Source organism: Homo sapiens, chromosome 2, assembly GCF_000001405.40.
Source record: "Homo sapiens chromosome 2, GRCh38.p14 Primary Assembly".
NCBI lineage: Eukaryota > Metazoa > Chordata > Mammalia > Primates > Hominidae > Homo > Homo sapiens.
This window is the reverse complement of record NC_000002.12, coordinates 108,326,698-108,347,826: the sequence shown is the minus strand read 5'-3', so window position 1 is coordinate 108,347,826 and position 21,129 is coordinate 108,326,698. Positions and strand designations below refer to the sequence as shown.

The following is a 21,129-nucleotide window of genomic DNA, read 5'->3' as shown; positions in this document are numbered from 1 at the left end:
CTGGGTATGTAGCCAAAGGAAATGAAATCAGTATGTTAAAGAGATATCTGCAGTCCCATGTTTATTGCAGCACTATTCACAATAGCCAAGAGATAGAAGCGACGTAAGTGTCCTTTAATGGATGAATAGATTTAAAAATGTGTTATATATACACAACGGAATATTATGGAGCCATAAAAAGAATAAAATCTTGTCACATGTGACATCATGGATTAACTAGAGGATGTTACGTGAAGTGAAATAAGTCAAGCACAGAAGGACAAATACTGCATGATCTCACTCATATGTGGAATCTAAAACAGTTCATCTCATAGAAATAGAGAGTGTGATAGTGGTTACCAGAAACTGGTAAGAAGGTGAGGTAGGGGAGCTTGGGGAGAGATTTGTCAACGAGAACAAGGTTGAAGTTAAATAGGAGGAATAAGTTCTGGTGTTCTGTTGCAGAGTAGGGTGATTATAGTTGACAATAACGTATTGTGTATTTCAAAATGTCTAGAAGAGAGGATTTTGAATGTTCTCACCACAAATAAATGACAAGTGTTTGAGGTGATGGATATCCTAACTACTCTTATTTGATCATTAGATAATTATTCATATATTGAGATGTCACACTGTACCCCATAAATATGTACAATTATTGTCAATTATAAACAAAATAAAACTTAAAAAGTCAGATGATTCCTTTTCCTTTTTAACCTTGTTTCTCCCTCTTATCTATGTACTACAGCTGTTTTGTGTGTTTCTCCTTCTCCTCCCAAATCCCTTGTTCTTGTCAGTGGCACTGTGTGAGATACTCCCTTTGGACAGATGACTGAGCTGCAAAAGAGGCAGAATGAGTGAAACCGTTATCTGTGAGGTGGGTCTATTGTTCATTTTATTAATCTTGGGTCCTGCTTAGGATCCTTGACCTCATTCTTCAGTGCTCATCTACCTCCTCCCCCGCCTTTTCTACGTGGTCTGAGGATTCTTCTCTTACTCCAGCATTGGCTTTAGAGCAGGGGTTTCCTTTCTCAATTTGGGAAGCTGGAATCCCAGATCTTGTTCTGCTCATTTCCTCTAGACTTCCTTCTTTTGAGTTGTGACTATTTATTTTCTGCCTTTTCCACAGCTGGATGCATAGAGGAATATGGGTATAGAAGGCACCAACTCTTAATAGGACTCCCCTGTTGCTCCCCTCAACCTCCCGTCGCTCCTCCGTTGCAACTCCTCACCAAGATGTTTTCCTGATGGCTGTTCAGCAGTGCTTTATTTGCTTGTTCTGGCCAAATGTTGCCTCCAGACTTCTTTTGCTTGCTTATTGGTTTGACTCTTTCCTGGGTCTTCCTGATTCTCATTGTCCTCAGCTGCCTCTTTTGGCCATGCACATCTTTCCAAGTCCTCACCATCTTCATTCTCCAGATTTCCATTTCCTCTCCTTGGGCCCTTCTGCCTAGTGCCACCACCATCTCTCTCTTCATCTCTGCCTATTCTCTCTAGAAACCAAACCTGCTTCCCTGAGTTTTTAGCCTAATATGCCAAAGGAGAGCCAAACCTGTGACCCAGATGTAAACACTTTGCTTTCATTTTTGGAGCGTTTTATCACTAGGAGTCTACCTAAGTAGCCTGTTCACATGTTGCTCCTATAGCTCCGGCATTCGTGCCTTGGCCTTTGTTCAGAGGAATAACCCAGTGGTCACACTGGTAGATAGGTGGGCAGGATGCCAGTGTAAAATGTGCACTTGAATGAGGAAATGGCTAAACATTTGTTTAAAAAAAATCTTTGTTGTGGTTTATAGTTTTATAAGGCTAACTGGTAGCAACATAGTATTTTATTTTGTACTGAAACCAGTAGTTCCATTTCAAAACAACATCTCTATGTGGATTTCCTCTTATATTTGTGATGGATTTATGGTCCTCACTAGTGGCTTTTTTCCCTGGATCTACTAAGCGGAATCCTTGTTAGCTGAAGTGTAAGGCTGCGTCTCCACATCTTCTATTCTAAGTTGAGGTGAAAGGACCTAAGGAACAGGCTCCTCTCTGATTTTTCTTCCTCTTCTGTGACCACAGATGTTGTGTCCTCTCTTTCCCAGAAGGAAAGAGTCAGGAAGCATTATTGCTGATACCACTTTCTCAACTCTGGCTTCTTGTTAAAACCAACTCATGGGGGAGGGGCCAAGATGGCCGGCTAGAAACAGCTTTGGTCAGAGGCTCCCACTGAGAAGAACGAAAATGGCGAGTGAATCCTGCACTGGCAACTGAGGTATCCAGGTTCTCTCATTGGAACTGACTAGGCAGTTGGCGTGACCCACAGAAAGTGAGGATAAGCAGGGTTGAGCAATGGCCCACCTGGGAGCTGCATGGGCAAGAGGAGCCCCCACTCCCAGCCAAGGGAGGTGGTGAAGTGATTGTTCTACCCTGCCTGGGAAACCAGTTTTTCCACGGATTTGTGCAACCCACGGATCAGGAGATCTTCTCATGAGCCCACACCACCAGGGCCTTGGGACCCAAGCACAGAGCTATGCAGATTCTCGGCAGCCACTGGGCTAGAGACTGCCTAAGGCTACCGAGTTCCTGCGGAAAAGGGCGGCAGCCATCACTGCAGCTCCAGTCTGCCATTTTCCCTTGCTGGTGCCTGGGAGACTGGGCAGTTTGAACCCAGGAGGAATTCCCCACAGCACAGCACAGTGGCTGTGGCAGATTGTGGCCAGACTACCTCTTTAGGCTGGACCTGGACCCATCTCTCCTCACCAGGCAGGGCCTCCCTGTGGGAATTTCAGCAACTTCAGCCAGAGGTTTACAGACAGAACTCTGATGTTCCTGGGACAGAGCTGCTCAGGGGAGGGGTGGCTGTGATCTCAGTGGATCAGCCGACTTAGTCTTTCCACCTGCTCTCTCTGAGGAATCTGGGCCCTTCAGATGAGTGGGATTCCCCCCAGCACAGTGCACCCCCTTTGCCAAGGGGCAGCCAGGGTGCTTCAATAAGTGGGTCCCTGATCCTGTGCCTCGTGACTGGGTGAAATCCCCCAAAAGGGTTCACCAGACACCTCATGCAGGACTGTTCCCACTGGTATCAGGTTGGTGCCACTCAGGGATGGAGCTCCCAGAGGAATGAGCAGGCAGCCATCTTTGCTGTTCTGCAACCTCTACTGGTGACACCTCCAAGTGCAGGAGGGACCCAGGAAAATAGGGTCTGGCGTGGACCCCTAGAAAACCACAGCAGCCCTATGGAAGAGCAATCTGACTGTTAAATGAAAAACAAATAGAAAGCAATAACAAAAACAGCATCAGCAAAATAGTCCCCACAAAAACCCCATCCAAAGATCAGCAGCCTCAAAGATAAAAGTTAGATAAACTCATGAAGATGAGAAAGAATCAATGAAAAAACACTGAAAACTCAAAAGGCCAGAGTGTCTTTCTTTTCTTCTCCAAATGATTGCAACACCTCTCCAGCAAGGGTACAGAGCTGGGCTGAGGCTGAGATGGATGAACTGACAGAAGTAGACTTCAGAAGGTGGGTAGTAATGAACTTCACTGAGCTAAAGGAGCATGTTCTAACCCAATGCAAAGAAGCTAAGAATCATGATAAAACATTACAAGAGCTGTTAACCAGAATAACCAGTTTAGAGAGGAACATAAATGACTTGATGGAGCTGAGAAACACAGCACAAGAACTTCACCATGCAACCACAAGTATAAATAGCAGAATAGACCAAGTGGAGGGAAGAATTTCAGAGCTTGAAGACTATCTTGCTTACGTAAGAAAGGCAGACAAGATTAGAGAAAAGAGAATGAAAAGGATTGAACAAAACCTCTGAGAATGATGGGATAATGTAAAAAGGCCAAACCTATGACTGATTGGGGTACCTGAAGGAGACAGGGAGAATGGAACCAAGTTGGAAAACATATTTTAGGATATTATCCAGGAGAACTTCCCCAATCTAGTAAAATAGGCCAACGTTCAAATTCAGGAAATTCAGAGAACCCCAGTAAGTACTCCATGAGAAGATCAACGTCAAGTCACATAATCATCAGATTCTCTGAGGTTGAAATGAAGAAAAAAATGTTAAGGGCAGCCAGAGAGAAAGTCCAGGTCATATACAAAGGAAAGCCCATCAGACTAACGGCACACCCCTCAGCAGAAACCCTACAAGCCAGAAGAGATTGGGGACCAATATTCAACATTCTTAAAGAAAAGAATTTCCAACCCAGAATTTCATATCTGGTCAAACTAAACTTCACAAGCAAAGGAGAAATAAAATCCTTTTCAAACAAGAAAATGCTGAGGGAATTTACCACCAGGCCTGCCTTGAAAGAGCTCCTAAAGGAAGCACTAAATATAGAAAAGAAAAACCACTACCAGCCACTACAGAAACACACTGAAGTACAAAGACCAATGACACTATAAAACAACTACATCACAAGCCTGCAAAATAACTAGTTAGCATCATGATGACAGAATCAAATTCACACATAACAATATTAACCTTAAATGTAAATGTGCTAAATGCCCCAATTAAAAGACATAGAATGGGACTCTGGATAGAGTCCAAGACCCATAGGTGTGCTGTATTCAAGAGACCCATCTCACATGCAAAGACACAGATAGGCTCAAAATAAAGGGACATAGAAAAATTTACTAAGCAAATGGAAAGCAGGAAAAAAAAAAAAAAACAGGGATTGCGACCCTAGTTCCTGACAAAACAGACTTTAAACCAACAAAGATCAAAAAAGACAAAGAAGGGCATTACATGATGGTAAAAGATTTAATTCAACAAGAAGAGCTAAGTATTCAAAAAATGTGCAGCCAATAAAGGAGCACCCAGATTCATAAAACAAGTTCTTAGGACCTACAAAGAGACTTAGACTCCCACACAATAATAGTGGGAGATTTTAACACCCCACTGTCAATATTAGACAGGTCACTGAGACAGAAAATTAACAAAGATATTCAGGACTTGAAATCAGCTCTGGTTCAAGTGGACCTAGTAAATACCTACAGAACTCTCCACCCCAAAACAACAGAATATATAACACATTATTCTCAGCACCACATGTCACTTACTCTAAAGTCAATCACATAATCAGAAGTTAATCATTCCGCAGCAAATGCAAAATTAGGAGAAATTGTAACAGTCTCTCAGACCACAGTGCAATGAAATTAGAACTCAAGATTAAGAAACTCACTCAAAACCACACAACTACATGGAAATTGAACAACCTGCTCCTGAATGACTCCTGGGTAAATAATGAAATTAAGGCAGATATCAAGAAGTTCTTTGAAACCAATGAGAACAAAGAGACAATGTACCAGAATCTCTGGGTCACAGCTAAGCAATGTTAAGAGGGAAATTTGTAGCACTAAATGCTCACATCAAATAGCTAGAAATGTCTCAAATCAACACCATATCATCACAACTAATAGAACTAGAGAACCAAGAGCAAACAAACCCCAAAGCTCGCAGAAGACAAACAAACAAGATCAGAGCAGAACTGAAGGAGACGGAGACATGAAAAACCATTAAAAATCAATAAATCTAGGAGCTTTTTTTTTTGAAAAAATTAATAAAATAGACTGCTAGCTAGACTCATAAAGAAGAAAAGGAGAAGAATCAAATAGACAGTAAAAAAAGATAAAGGGGATATCACCATGATCCCACAGAAATACACACAACCATCAGTGAATACTATAAACACCTTTATGCAAATAAACTAGAAAATCTAGAAGAAATGGATACATTCCTGGACACATACACCCTTCTAACACTGAACCAGGAAGAAGTTGAATCCCTGAATAGAATAATAACAAGTTCTGAATTTGAGGCAGTAATTCCTCCCTGAATAGAATAATAACAAATTCTGAATTTGAGACAGTAATTAATAGCCTGCCAACCAAAAAAAGCCCAGGACCAGATGGATTTACAGCTGAATTCTACCAGAGGTACAAAGAGGAGCTGATCCTATTTCTTCTGAAACTGTTCCAAAGAGTTGAAAAGGAGGGACTCCTCCCTAACTCATTTTATGAGGCCTGCATCATCCTGATACAAAAACCTAGAAGAGATACAAGAAAAAAAAAACTTCAGGCCAACATCCCTGATGAACATTGATGCACATATCCTCAATAAAATTACTCAAAAAATACTCCTATGTGGGTTTTGGCAAACTAAACCCAGCAGCACATCAAAAAATGTATCCACCATGATCAAATCTACTGCATCCTCGAGATGCAAAGCTGGCTCAACATATGCAAATCAATAAACATAATTCATCACATTAACAGAACTAAAGACAAAAACTACATGATTATCTCAATAGACGCAGAAAAGACCTTCGATAAAGTTCAATATCCCTTCATGTCAAAAACTCTCAATAAACTAGGTATTGATAGAACATACTCAAAATAATAAGAGCTATCTATGACAAACCCACAGCCAATATCATACTGAATGGGCAAAAGCTGGAAGCATTCCACTTGAAAACTGGCACAAGACAAGGAGGCCCTCTCTCACCACTCCTATTCAACAGAGTATTGGAAGTTCTGGAGTTCTGGCCAGGGCAATCAGGCAAGAGAAAGAAATAAAAGAAATAGAAGAAAGAGAGGAAGTCAAACTGTCTCTGTTTGCAGAGGACATGATCCTTTATCTAGAAAATCCCGTAGTCTCAGCCCCAAAGCTTCTTAACCTGATAAGCAACTCAGCAAAGTCTTAAGATACAAAATCAATGTGCAATAATTACTAACATTCCTATATACAAACAATAGAGAAGCAGAGAGCCAAATCAGGATTGAAATCCCATTCACAATTGCTACAAAGAGAATAAAATACCAAGAAATACAGCTAACAAGGGAAGTGAATGACCTCTTCAAGGAGACCTGCAAACCACTTCTCAGTGAAATCAGAGAGGACACAAACAAGTGGAAAAACATTCCATGCTCATGAGTAGGAAGAATCAATATTGTGAAAACTGCCACACTCCCCAAAGCAATCTATACATGCAATGTTATTTCCATTAAACTACCATTGACATTCTTCACAGAATTTGAAAAAGAAGTGTTTTAAAATTCACATGGAACCAAAAAAGGGCCCAAATAGCCAAGGCAATCCTAATGAAAAAGAACAAAGCTGAAGGCATTGTGCTACCCGACTTCAAACTATACTACAAGGCTATGGTAACCAAAACAGCATGATACTCGTACAAAGAAGAAAATCTAGACAATACTATTCAGGTATTTCCTGTAAACAAATTTACAGGAAAAAAACAAACAACTCCATTAAAAAGTGGGCAAAGAACATGAAGAGACATTTCTCAAAAGAAGACATTTATGCAGCCAACAAACATATGAAAAAAGTTCAACATCACTGATAATTACAGAAAAGCAAATCAAAACCACAATGAGATGCCATCTCATGTCAGAATGGCAATTACTAAAAAGTCAAGAAACAACAGAAAGTGCAAGGCTTAGGAGAAATAGGAGCGCTTTTACACTGCTGGTGGGAACATAAATTAGTTCAACGATTGTGAATGACTGTGTGGTGATTCCTTAAAGACCTAGAATTAGAAATATTATTTGACCCAGCAATTCAATCACTGGTTATATACCCAAAGAAAGATAAATCATTCTGTTATAAAGATACGTTCTTGCATATGTTCATTGCAGCACTATTCACAATAGCAAAGACATGGAATCAACCCAAAAGCCCATCAATGATAGACTGGAGAAAGAAAATATGGTTACATATACATAATGGAATACTTTGCAGCCATAAAAAGGAACAAGATCATGGGCTTTGCAGGCTCATGGATGGAGCTGGAAGCCATTATCCTCAACAAACTAATGTGGGAAAGAAAACCAAACACTGCATGTCCTTACTTATAAGTGGGAGCTGAATGATGAGACCACATGGACACAGGAAGGGGAACAACACACACAGGGGCTTGTTGGCAGGGCATGGAGGGAGAGCATCAGGAATAATAGCTAATGCATGCTGGGCTTAATACCTAGGTGATGGGTTGACAGGTGCAGCAAACCACCATAGCACACATTTACCTATGTAACAAACCTGCACATCCTGCACATGTATCCTGGAACTTAAATAAAGAAACTCATCTGGCGAGCTTCAGAAAAGCATCTATGTCCAGGCCCCATCTCTGATGATTCTAATGCATGGCAGGGTGAGTCCACTGCCATAAAGGGGTGCCTGATTTCTCCTGGGATCCGACTCTGACTCCCTTTATCCTCATGTTAATCCTAAGCCCATAGGTGGCCAGAAAAAATGGAAGTGGGTTGTGTTCACCAGTTCACATGCCTACGAAGTTGGCCAAAGTCTCTAATGTGTGCATGTGAGACTCCTCTGAGTGTTCTATGCCAAAACAACAACCAGAAAGTGAAACAGGACAAAATGGATCAAAAAGCCTTATCTCCCTTAGTGACCTAGAGTTCCTATTTGTTCAAAAGTCCCTGGAAACTATTTCCCTTTTTGCCTTGATTTTCATAAGCCCAGAGCTAGATTTTGACCAATCACATGAACTATTCTTAGCCTTTTCTTTGTGTGTGATTATATTTCCTGCTTGACCATATGAATTTTGAGGTTTTATTGAAACACACAATAATATTGTGCAAACAACTACTCTTGTGTGGGTTTTGGACATCACATAGGAATATGCATTAGGGAAGAGTGTGGGTTACAGGGTTGGGGGGAAAATGTACCCACAGGAAGCTGGCAGGACTTGCCAAACAAAGGGATGGCTTTAGTAGAAGAGAAGAAGAAATATGACAGTAATAACAAAGTTTTCTTGATACACTAGAGAGCATTCCTCCTGTAATTCATTGAGGTTAAGGTCAGCTAAAACAGACATGCCCACAGTTGAAAGCTGCTAATGACTATGGATGGCCCACCTTTGAATTCTAGGGCTGGCAGCAGTTGAGCCATCAAGCTTATACACTTTCACACATGGCTCATTCAGAGTCTGTTTCCATTTCTCTGCATGGGGTTTATTGTGTACCTATTTATAGATTCAGAAAGCTTGCAGGGTCCACTTTATTTTCCTTTTTACTGATGTACGTTTCTCTTTTTGATCACAAGTCTTCCTTACACTTTATTTTCTTTTTTTTCTTTATTTTATTTTATTATTATTTTACTTTAAGTTTTAGGGTACATGTGCACAATGTGCAGGTTTGTTACATATGTATACATGTGCCATGTTGGTGTGCTGCACCCATTAACTTGTCATTTAGCATTAGGTATATCTCCTAATGCTATCCCTCCCCCCTTCCTCCACCCCACAACAGTCCCCGGAGTGTGATGTTCCCCTTCCTGTGTCCATGTGTTCTCATTGTTCAATTCCCACCTATGAGTGAGAACATGTGGTGTTTGGTTTTTTGTCCTTGGAATAGTTTGCTGAGAATGATGGTTTCCAGTTTCACCCATGTCCCTACAAAGGACATGAACTCATCATTTTTTATGGCTGCATAGTATTCCATGGTGTATATGTGCCACATTTTCTTAGTCCAGTCTATCGTTGTTGGACATTTGGGTTGGTTCCAAGTCTTTGCTATGGTGAATAGTGCCACAGTAAATATATGTGTGCATGTGTCTTTATAGCAGCATGATTTATAATCCTTTGGGTATACACCCAGTAATGGGATGGCTGGGTCAAATGGTATTTCTAGTTCTAGATCCCTGAGGAATCGCCACACTGACTTCCACAATGGTTGAACTAGTTTACAGTCCCACCAACAGTGTAAAAGCGTTCCTATTTCTCCACATCCTCTCTGGTACCTGTTGTTTCCTGACTTTTTAATGATTGCCATTCTAACTGGTGTGAGATGGTATCTCATTGTGGTTTTGATTTGCATTTCTCTGATGGCCAGTGATGATGAGCATTTTTTCACATGTCTTTTGGCTGCATAAATGTCTTCTTTTGAGAAGTGTCTGTTCATATCCTTCCCCCACTTTTTGATGGGGTTGTTTATTTTGTTCTTGTAAATTTGTTTGAGTTCATTGTAGATTCTGGATATTAGCCCTTTGTCAGATGAGTAGGTTGTGAAAATTTTCTCCCATTCTGTAGGTTGCCTGTTCACTCTGATGGTAGTTTCTTTTGCTGTGCAGAAGCTCTTTAGTTTAATTAGATCCCATTTGTCAATTTTGGCTTTTGTTGCCAGTGCTTTTGGTGTTTTAGACATGAAGTCCTTGCCCATGCCTATGTCCTGAATGGTAATGCCTAGGTTTTCTTCTAGGGCTTTTATGGTTTTAGGTCTAACATGTGAGTCTTTAATCCATCTTGAATTAATTTTTGTGTAAGATGTAAGGAAGGGATCCAGTTTCAGCTTTCTACATATGGCTAGCCAGTTTTCCCAGCACCATTTATTAAATAGGGAATCCTTTCCCCATTTCGTGTTTTTGTTAGGTCTGTCAAAGATCAGATAGTTGTAGATATGTGGCATTATTTCTGAGGGCTCTATTCTGTTCCATTGATCTATATCTCTGTTTTGGTACCAGTACCATGCTGTTTTGGTTACTGTAGCCTTGTAGTATAGTTTGAAGTCAGGTAGCGTGATGCCTCCGGCTTTGTTCTTTTGGCTTAGGATTGACTTGGTGATGCGGGCTCTTTTTTGGTTCCATATGAACTTTAAAGTAGTTTTTCCCAATTCTGTGAAGAAAGTCATTGGTAGCTTGATGGGGATGGCATTGAATCTATAAATTTCCTTGGGCAGTATCGCCATTTTCACGATATTGATTCTTCCTACCCATGAGCATGGAATGTTCTTCAATTTGTTTGTATCCTCTTTTATTTCATTGAGCAGTGGTTTGTAGTTCTCCTTGAAGAGGTCCTTCACATCCCTTGTAAGTTGGATTCCTAGGTATTTTATTCTCTTTGAAGCAATTGTGAATGGGAGTTCACTCATGATTTGGCTCTCTGTTTGTCTGTTATTGTTGTATAAGAATGATTGTGATTTTTGTACATTGATTTTGTATCCTGAGACTTTGCTGAAGTTGCTTATCAGCTTAAGGAGATTTTGGGCTGAGACGATGGGGTTTTCTAGATATAAAATCATGTCATCTGCAAACAGGGACAATTTGACTTCCTCTTTTCCTAATTGAATACCCTTTATTTCCTTCTCCTGCCTAATTGCCCTGGCCAGAACTTCCAACATTATGTTGAAGAGGAGTGGTGAGAGAGGGCATCCTTGTCTTGTGCCAGTTTTCAAAGGGAATGCTTCCAGTTTTTGCCCATTCAGTATGATATTGGCTGTGGGTTTGTCATAGATAGCTCTTATTATTTTGAGATATGTCCCATCAATGCCTAATTTATTGAGAGTTTTTAGCATGAAGGGTTGTTGAATTTTGTCAAAGGCCTTTTCTGCATCTGTTGAGATAATCACGTGGTTTTTGTCTTTGGTTCTGTTGATATGCTGGATTACGTTTATTGATTTGCGTATATTGAACCAGCCTTGCATCCCAGGGATGAAGCCCACTTGATCATGGTGGATAAGCTTTTTGATGTGCTGCTGGATTTGGTAATATTTGTATAAATGTATTCTGTAACATCTACTGTGTGCTCAGCACTGTCCTAGGTATTGGGGATAGAGCAGTGCACACAAGACAGGCAGAAAGCCCTGCTCTTGGAAGTACATTTTATGGGGGAGACAAATGAGATAGATGTGAAATATGCAGGATGCTATTTCACTGTGTTCGTAAGAACACAGTGTGTGCTTAGCAGAACAAATAAACCAGGGAAAGAGAGGGAAAATGTTGAGGTTACATAGGAGGCTGGTCAGAAGAAGGGATCTCTGAGAAGGGATTATTGAGCACAACCCTGAAAAAAGGGAAAGGAGGAGCCCTGCTGGGCAGAGGGTACAGCCAGGGGAGGCATTGGATAGGAGGTTCTGGGTGTGCCTGTGGGACCAGGACAGAGTGAGTGAGGCCAGGGGAGTGGGGAGAGATGTAAGAAGTGTGAGGCCTGGTCCTGTGGACCTGTGAGATGCCCTAAGTACTCTGACTTTACTCTGAGTGAGATGGGATCCCAGTCATTGGCTTCCGGCAGAGGAGTTGCATGGTCTGACTTCCCTTTTAGTAGAATCTCTCTGGTTTCTCTGCTGAGAGTAGAGTGTAGGTTGGCAAGGGCAAAAGTTGGGGCAGAGGCTGTTTCGTTCATGCAGCAAAAATCTGATGATAGTTTGGCCCAAACTAAGTCCAGAATCTGACCAATCCTCGCACTTCCGGAAGTGTGTAATCTAATCACACTTCCAGAAGTGTGAGGATTGGTGAGATTCTGGATGGAGTTTGAAGATGGGGTTGATAGATTTTCTCATGGGCTGGATGGGGTATATGAGAAACAAAGAGGCTCAAGATAAGATCAAGATTTTAGGCCTGAGTAATTTAAGGGACAGTCACAATTAACAAGAAGCAGAGGCTGAAGGAAAAGCAGGTTTTGGAGGAAAGTCAGGAGTTAAGATTTGGACACATGAAGTCTAAGATGCCCTGTAAACATCCAGGTAGAGACGCTGGTAAGGCAGCTGGGTCTATGCACCAGGAGCCCAGGGCCAAGGCCAGGACTAGTGCAAATCTTGGAGTCATCAGCAGATAGGTGACATCTGAAACCACAAAGTGAGTGATATTGACCAAGGAATGATGTGGGTAGAAGAGAGAAAGGAGCCAACTGCAGACATCTAGGAGATAAAGAGAAACCAGCAAAGGAGACTGGGAAGGAACAGAGACATAGGAGGAATGTCAGGGGAGGGAGGGGTCCTGGGAGCCAATAAGGAAATCATTTCAAGGAAGAGAGAGTGTGACCAATTGCGTTAGATGACGTTGATGGCTTAAATGAGATGAGGACAGAGGATTGATCATTGGGTTTAGTGATGTGGAAGTCATGATGACCCTGGCAGGACAGGTTTGGTGGTGTTGGGAGAGAAATTGAAGATAATAGTGTAAGCCAGTGCCACAAGGTGTTTGTAGTAAACGGAAGGAAAGATGGGGGAGGTAACTGGGGTTGGGGAGGTAGGGTCAACAGAGTGGTTTTTAAATGTTATTTTATTTTAAGGTGGGAGAAATAATAGCATGGGCCAATGCTAAGACATATGAAAGCAATAGTCTGGTAGTGCCTAGGACACAGTATAATAGTAAGTGTCTGACACATAGTAGCTATTCAACAAAAGTCATTTAAAAATTTAACTTAAAAATTCAGTAATATTTTTCCCCTTTCTTCTATTATCCCTTCTGCCAAAATTTGCCCTTCTTATGTTTCATTTACACAGCGTAAAGATTAGGTAGGATGTGTCTGAAAGTCTCTTTGATACTAGGATGTCTAAGAGCACTTCAGCCCACTCCCAGTGATAGCTTCCAATCATTAGGGAGTAGCTATTCAACCCTTTTCTCTCTTTTGGCATGCAGCGTAGTCATAGGGTGACCAGCCATTCTATTCTGTCTAGGGCTGTGTCAGTTTAATTACTGAGAACCCTATGCTGCAGGAAACTGCTTAGGTCAGGGCAAGCTGTATGGGTAGATGACCGAGACATAGGGCCAGTCTATCTGCACTTTGGCAGAAAGCACTTGTGCTACTCCAGCTGGGTGAAATGCCTCAGCATGGCACTGGTACTAAGACCCTCATAAATAGGGGGAGCTGCTATTGTTCTACTTCTTATTCTTGATTCCTTCTACCCATGTTCCATGCCATTGGCCCTGAAGGTGCATCTTCAGGAGTGTGTGTGTGTGTGTGTGTGTGTGTGTAGAGGAGTAGCCCTAAGGCTTTGTTTGACTTCAGTGCTTCTCTTCTCTGGTGCACAACTTGCCTGATGCAGGGCAAGGAGTTGGAACTATCCTCTCAGCTCTCTGATTTAGGAACAGCCATCTACATCAGCCCAGTCCTGGCCCTGCACAAGCCCAGTGTCTCAACCTGTCAACAAGGTCACTTTCTTAGGGATCACTCTTTGTCCAAAGACATTCTGACATCATTGTTAGAACACCTACAATGAAATTTACTAGAGACATTCAACCAGTGAAAATACCTTGGGGTACAATGGATCATTTTCAGAGTGTATCTCATAAGGAGAAGACTATAATAATAATAATAATTTTTGTTATTTAAAATTATGAAAGTCAAATGGCAATCAAAGGTATCATATTTTCATGCATTACTGGTGGTTTGTTACTAATGGGAAGGACTACTTTCTTACATTTATTTATAATTATTTTAGAGGAAAAAAACTTAAATATAGGAGACAAGGCAGTTGTTTCTCCATAGGACTATATAAATAATTGTTTCAGTTATAAATTTTTACCTTGAATAATAAAGTGCTTTGGTGCAAATATTTAGGTTTTAATCATGCAAAGCTGTCAATTCAACTTCATCGTGCAAACCAATTTGATATTATATTTATATTGTACTTCCCCAAATGTATAACCTTGTAAAAGCTTGCTTAAATTACCATTTTTTAAAAAACTTTTGAGAAATCTTTTTATTATGAAAATATTCTTCAGGAGTTCCTCTGTGTGTGTGTGTGTGTGTGTGTGTGTGTGTGTGTGTGTGTGTAGAGGAGCAGCCCTAAGGCTTTGTTTGACTTCAGTGCTTCTCTTCTCTGGTGCTCAACTTGCCTGATGCAGGGCAAGGATTTGGAACTATCCTCTCAGCTCTCTGATTTATATACAATATATACAAGGATAGAGGAAATAGTGTAATGAATTTCCATGAACCAATCATCCAGTTTTAATAATCTCATCACCTTTTAGTACTTTTAGTACTCTTTAGGCTTCTTTAGGAGAACAGTTGATGTATTAAAAGATATAGCAGCATTTGAGACTTAGAAAAACGTCAAGAAACTTGTGAAGACTCAGTTTTGACACTGGAAGCCTGACTGAAAGATCATACATTTTTGCACATGATAGTTTGTGAACCTACAGTGTCAGGAGCCACCACTGCACCACCAATTCAAATGATGGTAATGACTGAAAAACTTGCATACACACTAAACCTTTTCTTTCTTTCCAGTTGAACATGCAGGCAATTGGTAAGACTTCAACCGCCAAGCACACAGGGTTTGAGCTTAACTAAACCTGCCTATGTTCAAATTCTAGCCCTGCTCTCGCTAGCAGGGTAATGTAGGCAAGTTACTCAAACTCACTGAGCCTCAGTTCATCACCTACAAATGATGAATATTGTTACCAAGCTTATAGGGTTGCTCTAAAGATTAAACAAGTTAATGCATGTAAAACATTTAACATAGGCTTAGAGTTGGGACCTTCTCTTATAGCTGGCTTGCCTATAATACTGGTTTGACTTCATTCAGAGGATATATTGCAATTGGAAGCAAATCCACTGACCACAGATGACAGCCAGGGCTAGCCACATCTCTCAGGATGTTGTCTCTAGTCCTTCCCTCCAAGAAAATCTGAGCCCCTTCTACGGATGAATTTTGTTTCCCAAGGAGAATTTGATGGGGAAAGCTTATCCTCTGCAGACATAGGTGAAGGCTGGTTTCATGCACTTGGCTCACCATTGCCTGCCAGGAATGTTTCAAAGTACTTATCCCAGCTTCCCAAAGGTCAGGGAGTGCTTTGCTCATCCTTTGAAAATGGTAGTAGGACACCAGGTTATCCTTGGCATTTCTTGCCACATAGATTATCTAAAGTGGTGAGAGGAAACAAAATAAATGATAGAACAAGTTAGAAATCGGGCATTCAGTGTGCACAGCATATGTGTTCTGGTAACCTTGTGCTAAAGGTCATGAATGCATCTTTGTTCTCTTCCACTCATCATCCAGCAGCCAGAATGATCTTGTAAAAATGCAAATCAGATGATGTTGCTTCCCTGTGTAAAACTTGTCAATTTCTGTACCTTGTTCTTACGATTAAGTTCAAAGTTCTCAACCTGGTGTTCAGGGTCTGTGTAATCTCGCCCTCTGATTCCCTTTGCTTACCCTTCCCTGATCACACTTAACTTCCCTTCTTCTGTGGTAGTGCTGATTTCATGGCTGTCCTATAATGTTTCTGATTCTCCTTCTTTAGTGTGTCCTGCTCTGCCACTCTACTCTTAAATCAGGGTGTCTTGAAATGATGACCTTCAAGAGGTCTGTCCCTCTCTCTAAAAGTATATGCAAAATTTTTTATAGATGTATTACTTTGTCAGGAGTGGAGTCACAACTTTCTGTAGATTCTCGATGGGGTTTACGATCACTAAAAGTTTGAAATCTTTAAATGTTGGCCTTCTTTAGTGCTCTGCCTGGGGCCTACTTTTATTTTCACTATATTTGCTTTTCCTGTTTTTTTTTTGTTATCTTTCTATTGCGATAAATTTCATATGTTTATGACTTACGAATTTGTTTCTAGTACATGTCTGTCTCCCGAGCTAGAGACTCATGTATCTGTGTCCCTACCTGAATGTTCTGCATGCATTTTAGACTCGATGGGTTCAAAATTCAATTCGTCTTCACACAAACTAGCTGCTCCTCTTTTATGATCTCTTTCCATTAATGGTACCATGATCAATAGTTACAGTGACAAAATCATACAAGATGTTTCTTTTTCCATGTCTTCCATAGCAGGTCCTTGAGAGATCTTGTAAATTCTGTCTGTTGTGTACATTTGGAATTCATTTTCTCACTGCCTCTGCCTTAACCCAAGCCTTTTAAATTCTTTTCCTGGACGATTGCCACCATCTCCTCACTGATATCCTGTTTTCAGTCTTGCGCCAGTTCTGTTCACCCCTCCCCACCACCACATCCCCCTGGGGAACTTTCTAAAATGTAAATGGGATCATGTCACTTCCTGGTTCATTTCACGTTCTTCAGTGGGATCCAAGTAGCCTACAGGTTAAGTCCAAACATCTTAGCAGGCAAGGCTGTGCAACAGGGCATCTCTGGCTCCTTCCCACCTCTCATGCTTCTTTTCCGGCGTTGGACCTATTTTCTTAAGTCTTGGCTTTTGCTCTTTCAGTAACATGGAATGTCCTTCCCTCTCTTATCACTTGACAAATTTATGTCTGTTCTTTATGCCCTGACTCCTCTGTCACTTTTGTTGACTCTCCTTTTCAAGAAGTTTCGTACTCCCCACTTTCTGCTCCCATGACACCTTTCCTGGTTCTTAATCTCTCATTGATAAGGATGGGCTCAGTATACCTACTTCAAGAAGAGAGAACCAACATCTGCTAGGTTCAGTTCTGAGCCTCTTAGCCTCTTAATAATGCTATAAGGTGGAGGTACCTGAGCATGCTTTTGGTACTTGCTAGATTGCTGTTATAGTTATTCTTATTTTACTGACCCTCCTAGCCCAGGCCTGGCTCTATTTGTACTAACAATATATTTCCATTTGCTTTCAGTCATTCAGCCACCCCTGCCCCCAGACTCCAGATCTACATCGGAAGATCCACTAGGGTCAGTAAGGTAGAGTGAGTAAGACCCTGGATGTACTCTAGAGAACCAGAAACAGTAAAGGTGTGGATCTTGGCAAGCTGACAGAGGGAACAGAATGCCACATGGAAGGGAGGGTGGGGACTGCTTTGGCTTAGTGCCAAGGCCCATTTATAGACCCTCCCTGTAGAGGAGCACTTTTTTAGATTGAAAGGCAATAAGTGGTCTCTTGGGGCTCTGAAAAAGTTAAAAAAAATTCCTTAGTGACCAATTTAAGACATACATGAAAATGCATCTGCACTCCTGTAGGCTTCAATATGGAAAATAAATCTGATGTTTACAAAAATTTGACTTTCATCAGGTCTCAGAATGACTAGGGCTTGCAGCTTGTAGGCACCTTTAGATGTCTGCAAGAGACAGTTTAGCTACAAGTGAGATAAAGCGAGAGGATAGTAGAGCATATAGTTTTTAAGATTCCTTCAGTGGCACTTTCTGATCATTTAAATACTCATTACCTTAATATTGGCAGGAGGCCAACTACCAAGAAGCTTTGGAAGACTTCTGTGGTTATAGGAGGCATAGAGTAGGTGGTATAGAGTAACAGAAAGAGCATGGGCTGTTGGGTAATGAAGAGGTGGATTTGCAGCCCATCTCTTCCACCTTCCATGTCTTTGTCATTGGACAAATTATTTAACACCCTGAGCTACAATATGCTCACGTACCTCTACCTTATAGCATTGTTAAGGGGCTAAGATGCTCAGAAATGAGCCTAGTATATGTTTATTCTCTCCTTCTTCTTGATATAGATGTATGCTAAGCACATCCTTATCATTGAGAGATTAAGAACATGGAAGATGATAGTAGCTTCCATAATCTGTTCCTGGTAGACACAACGTAGGGATGGCTGGGCAATGGTTATGACACAATAAGCTGCTCCCTATGTTCTCATGAGGAAAATTTGTCTCTGAACATTTTCTGTTTTAAGCTTACCTTACAGTTTTCCTCCCAGAAGGATGGAGGCAGTAGTTGTACAGGAAGATGAGTTTTCAGGGTCCTTGGGGAAGGCATTGTGTTAGCCTGGTCAATCCCTGCAAAAATTTTCCTGGCTTATTCTTTAATTTTTAAAAAAGTTTTAATTTTTATGCGGTTGATCTTATCAGTTTTTTTCCTAATGGCTTCCGGGTTTTGTGCCATGTTATGCCTTCTTCACTCCTAGATGATAAGAAACCATTTCTCCCTATTTTCTTTTAGTACTTAGCACTTTGTATTTCCTTTCATACCTCTGATTTTTTGCTACATTGGCCTTCATTTGGTATATTATTTACTGTTAAGTGTCCTCTCCATTGCTCATCCCATTAGCCTTTAGAAATTACCACAGTTCCACTTGGCAACAAGGGATTGTTGGCACCAATGCAAATGAGGGCAATGAGACCACATTGGCAGAATTTAGATTACATGGTGATCATCCAGGTGACCCAGAATGTGTTTACTTTATATATTTTTTGATTACTATGAAAATAAAATCATAATTAAGCAATTGTTTTAGAGGTCTTGAGGACTCTCAAAGATGTGTCCACAGATGGCCTAAATAAAGATGACCAGGTACCAATGCTGGTCCAACATGGACTATTTAATTCCACTGTATCCCTCAGATACGTATAGCCAGAGTCCATATAGGAGACACACACACATTCACGCACACTGCATAGCTTAGTGGTTGAGAGCATGAACTTAGGAAACAGAATTCCTGGGTCCAAATCTTGGCTCTGCTACCTATTAATTGTGGACCTTCAGAATCATAATCCCTCTGTATCTCAATTTCTTCACATATAACCTGGCAGCTACCTCACAAGTTGTGAAGAATAAGTGAGTTAACATGTGAAAAGTATTTAGAATAATGCCAGCCATTTAAATGCCCATCAAAGATAGACTGGATAAAGAAAATGTGGCACACATACACCATGGAATACTATGCAGCCATAAAAAAGGACGAGTTCATGTCCTTTGCAGGGACATGGATGAAGCTAGAAACCATCATTCTCATCAAACTAACACAAGAACAGAAAACCAAACACCACATATTCTCACTCATAAGTGGGAGTTGAACAATGAGAACACATGGACACAGGGAGGGGAACATCACACACTGGGGTCTGTCGGGGGGTGGGGGATAGGGGAGGGATAGCATTAGGAGAAATACCTAATGTAGATGACGGGTTGATGGGTGCAGCAAATCACCATGGCATGTGTATACCTACGTAACAAACCTGCACGTTCTGCACACGTACCCCAGAACTTAAAGTATACATATGTAAAAAAAGAATAATGCCTGATACCTGGTATGTGCTGTGAAAGTCTTAGCTATGACTATGACACTTATTATCTTTCATGGGAAGTGCATGGTGCATCCCAAATTTGAATCTGTGGTCCTTGGTGCCAGACGTCTTTGGCACTGACACTGGGGTGCCACATGAACAAGCAGGGACTCTGCTGGGTGAGAACTGTGTAGCTAACGCTTGGCACTTGTAACTGGTTGAACACTTTGTTTAATTGAGAGATTGTACCTCTCTATTGTTAAGTGTTGAAGCGAAATACGTTAGGCGAAAGGATCTATCTAGATTTGCACAGGAAAAGTTATTTTTCATCCAGTACTTAGAATTAGGGATTAAAGGGAGTTTTTCCCCACCAGAATATGTTTGACTTTCAGACTGTCTACTCTTGAATTGCTCATCTTTATGCAAGGACTGTGGGTTTGTAAATGGAAGACTTACCACAGTGTGTCATTCTTATCCACTCCAGGAAAGGGTGTTGAAGTTGAATGGAAGCGCGCCTGCTTTTCTCAATATCGCCATCATTTTGTATCAGATCTACAATTTCCTGTGTCCAAGTGGTTCCTGAAAGAGAGTAGAATAAAGATCTGAGAAACTGATTATTGACTTTTCGCAACTTAGAATTTAGAAACATGCTATAAAAAATTAATTTGCCTGTTAATACCTCACTTATGTTGCTTACAACATTGAATTAAAACCAACTATTAAGATAATCTTTTCCTCACCAGAAAGGTTAAGGGTAGAAATGTGACTTCTTTATTTTTGTACTCCAATGATGTACTTAAAAAATCTGAATATGCATTGGTATTTCTATAAAACGATAATACAAATAACTATTATATGTAACAACAGGGATTATTTAAAAAGTTTCCATTTGGAGAAAATCACAGAAATTCCCAAACCCCAGCTTTTCCCATTAAAAGCTCTGGCTGCTAATAAGTAGTCTAGTTTTTCTTCCTTGGATTACTTTTATTTTTTTATTTTTTATTTTTATTTTTTAGAACCGAGGAACTGACACAATGTCCATAATAAGAAAAAGAAGGAAAAGTAAGAATTTCAAATAATCCACAAACTGAAAAAATGAGATTGAATGAATTCCTCTTTCAAAGGCAAAGAAAAGTTAAACAGTGGCTTCTACAAGAAAGGTGAACTCCTTATAAATGAAAAAATGACCTTTGCTGCATTTGAGGGTAAAATTTGTTTCTCTTCATGGTCTTGTCTGCGATCTCCTTCCTGATTCTGGGGCTTCCTTGGACTGGGCTCTGGCTTCTGCAGTGTCTGTCCTCAGAAAGTGCATCCTTGTTTGGCTTCTGGGACGCTTGGCTGACCTGGTCCTGTTTTTCTGTGGGGAAGCATGGATTGGATGTGTGTGGGGCTGTGGAATCAAATGGACTCGACTCCTATATATGATGTATGCATTGGGTGGTTTCGGATGAATTATGTAAACCTGATGTATATTAATGATTCTCATGTGGTTTT

General features: G+C 40.8%; 1 pseudogene across 1 annotated transcript in view; it reads right to left on the bottom strand.

Moving 5' to 3' along the window:
* Nucleotides 1–21,129, bottom strand: part of SULT1C5P (sulfotransferase family 1C member 5, pseudogene) — a 31,562-nt pseudogene that overhangs the window by 5,973 nt on the left and 4,460 nt on the right. The window contains exons 2-3 of the transcript NR_037191.1: nt 20,092–20,214; nt 18,311–18,408 (exon numbers count right to left, since the gene is read on the bottom strand). The product of NR_037191.1 is annotated as a sulfotransferase family 1C member 5, pseudogene (transcript). The remainder of the gene's footprint in view (nt 1–18,310; nt 18,409–20,091; nt 20,215–21,129) is intronic.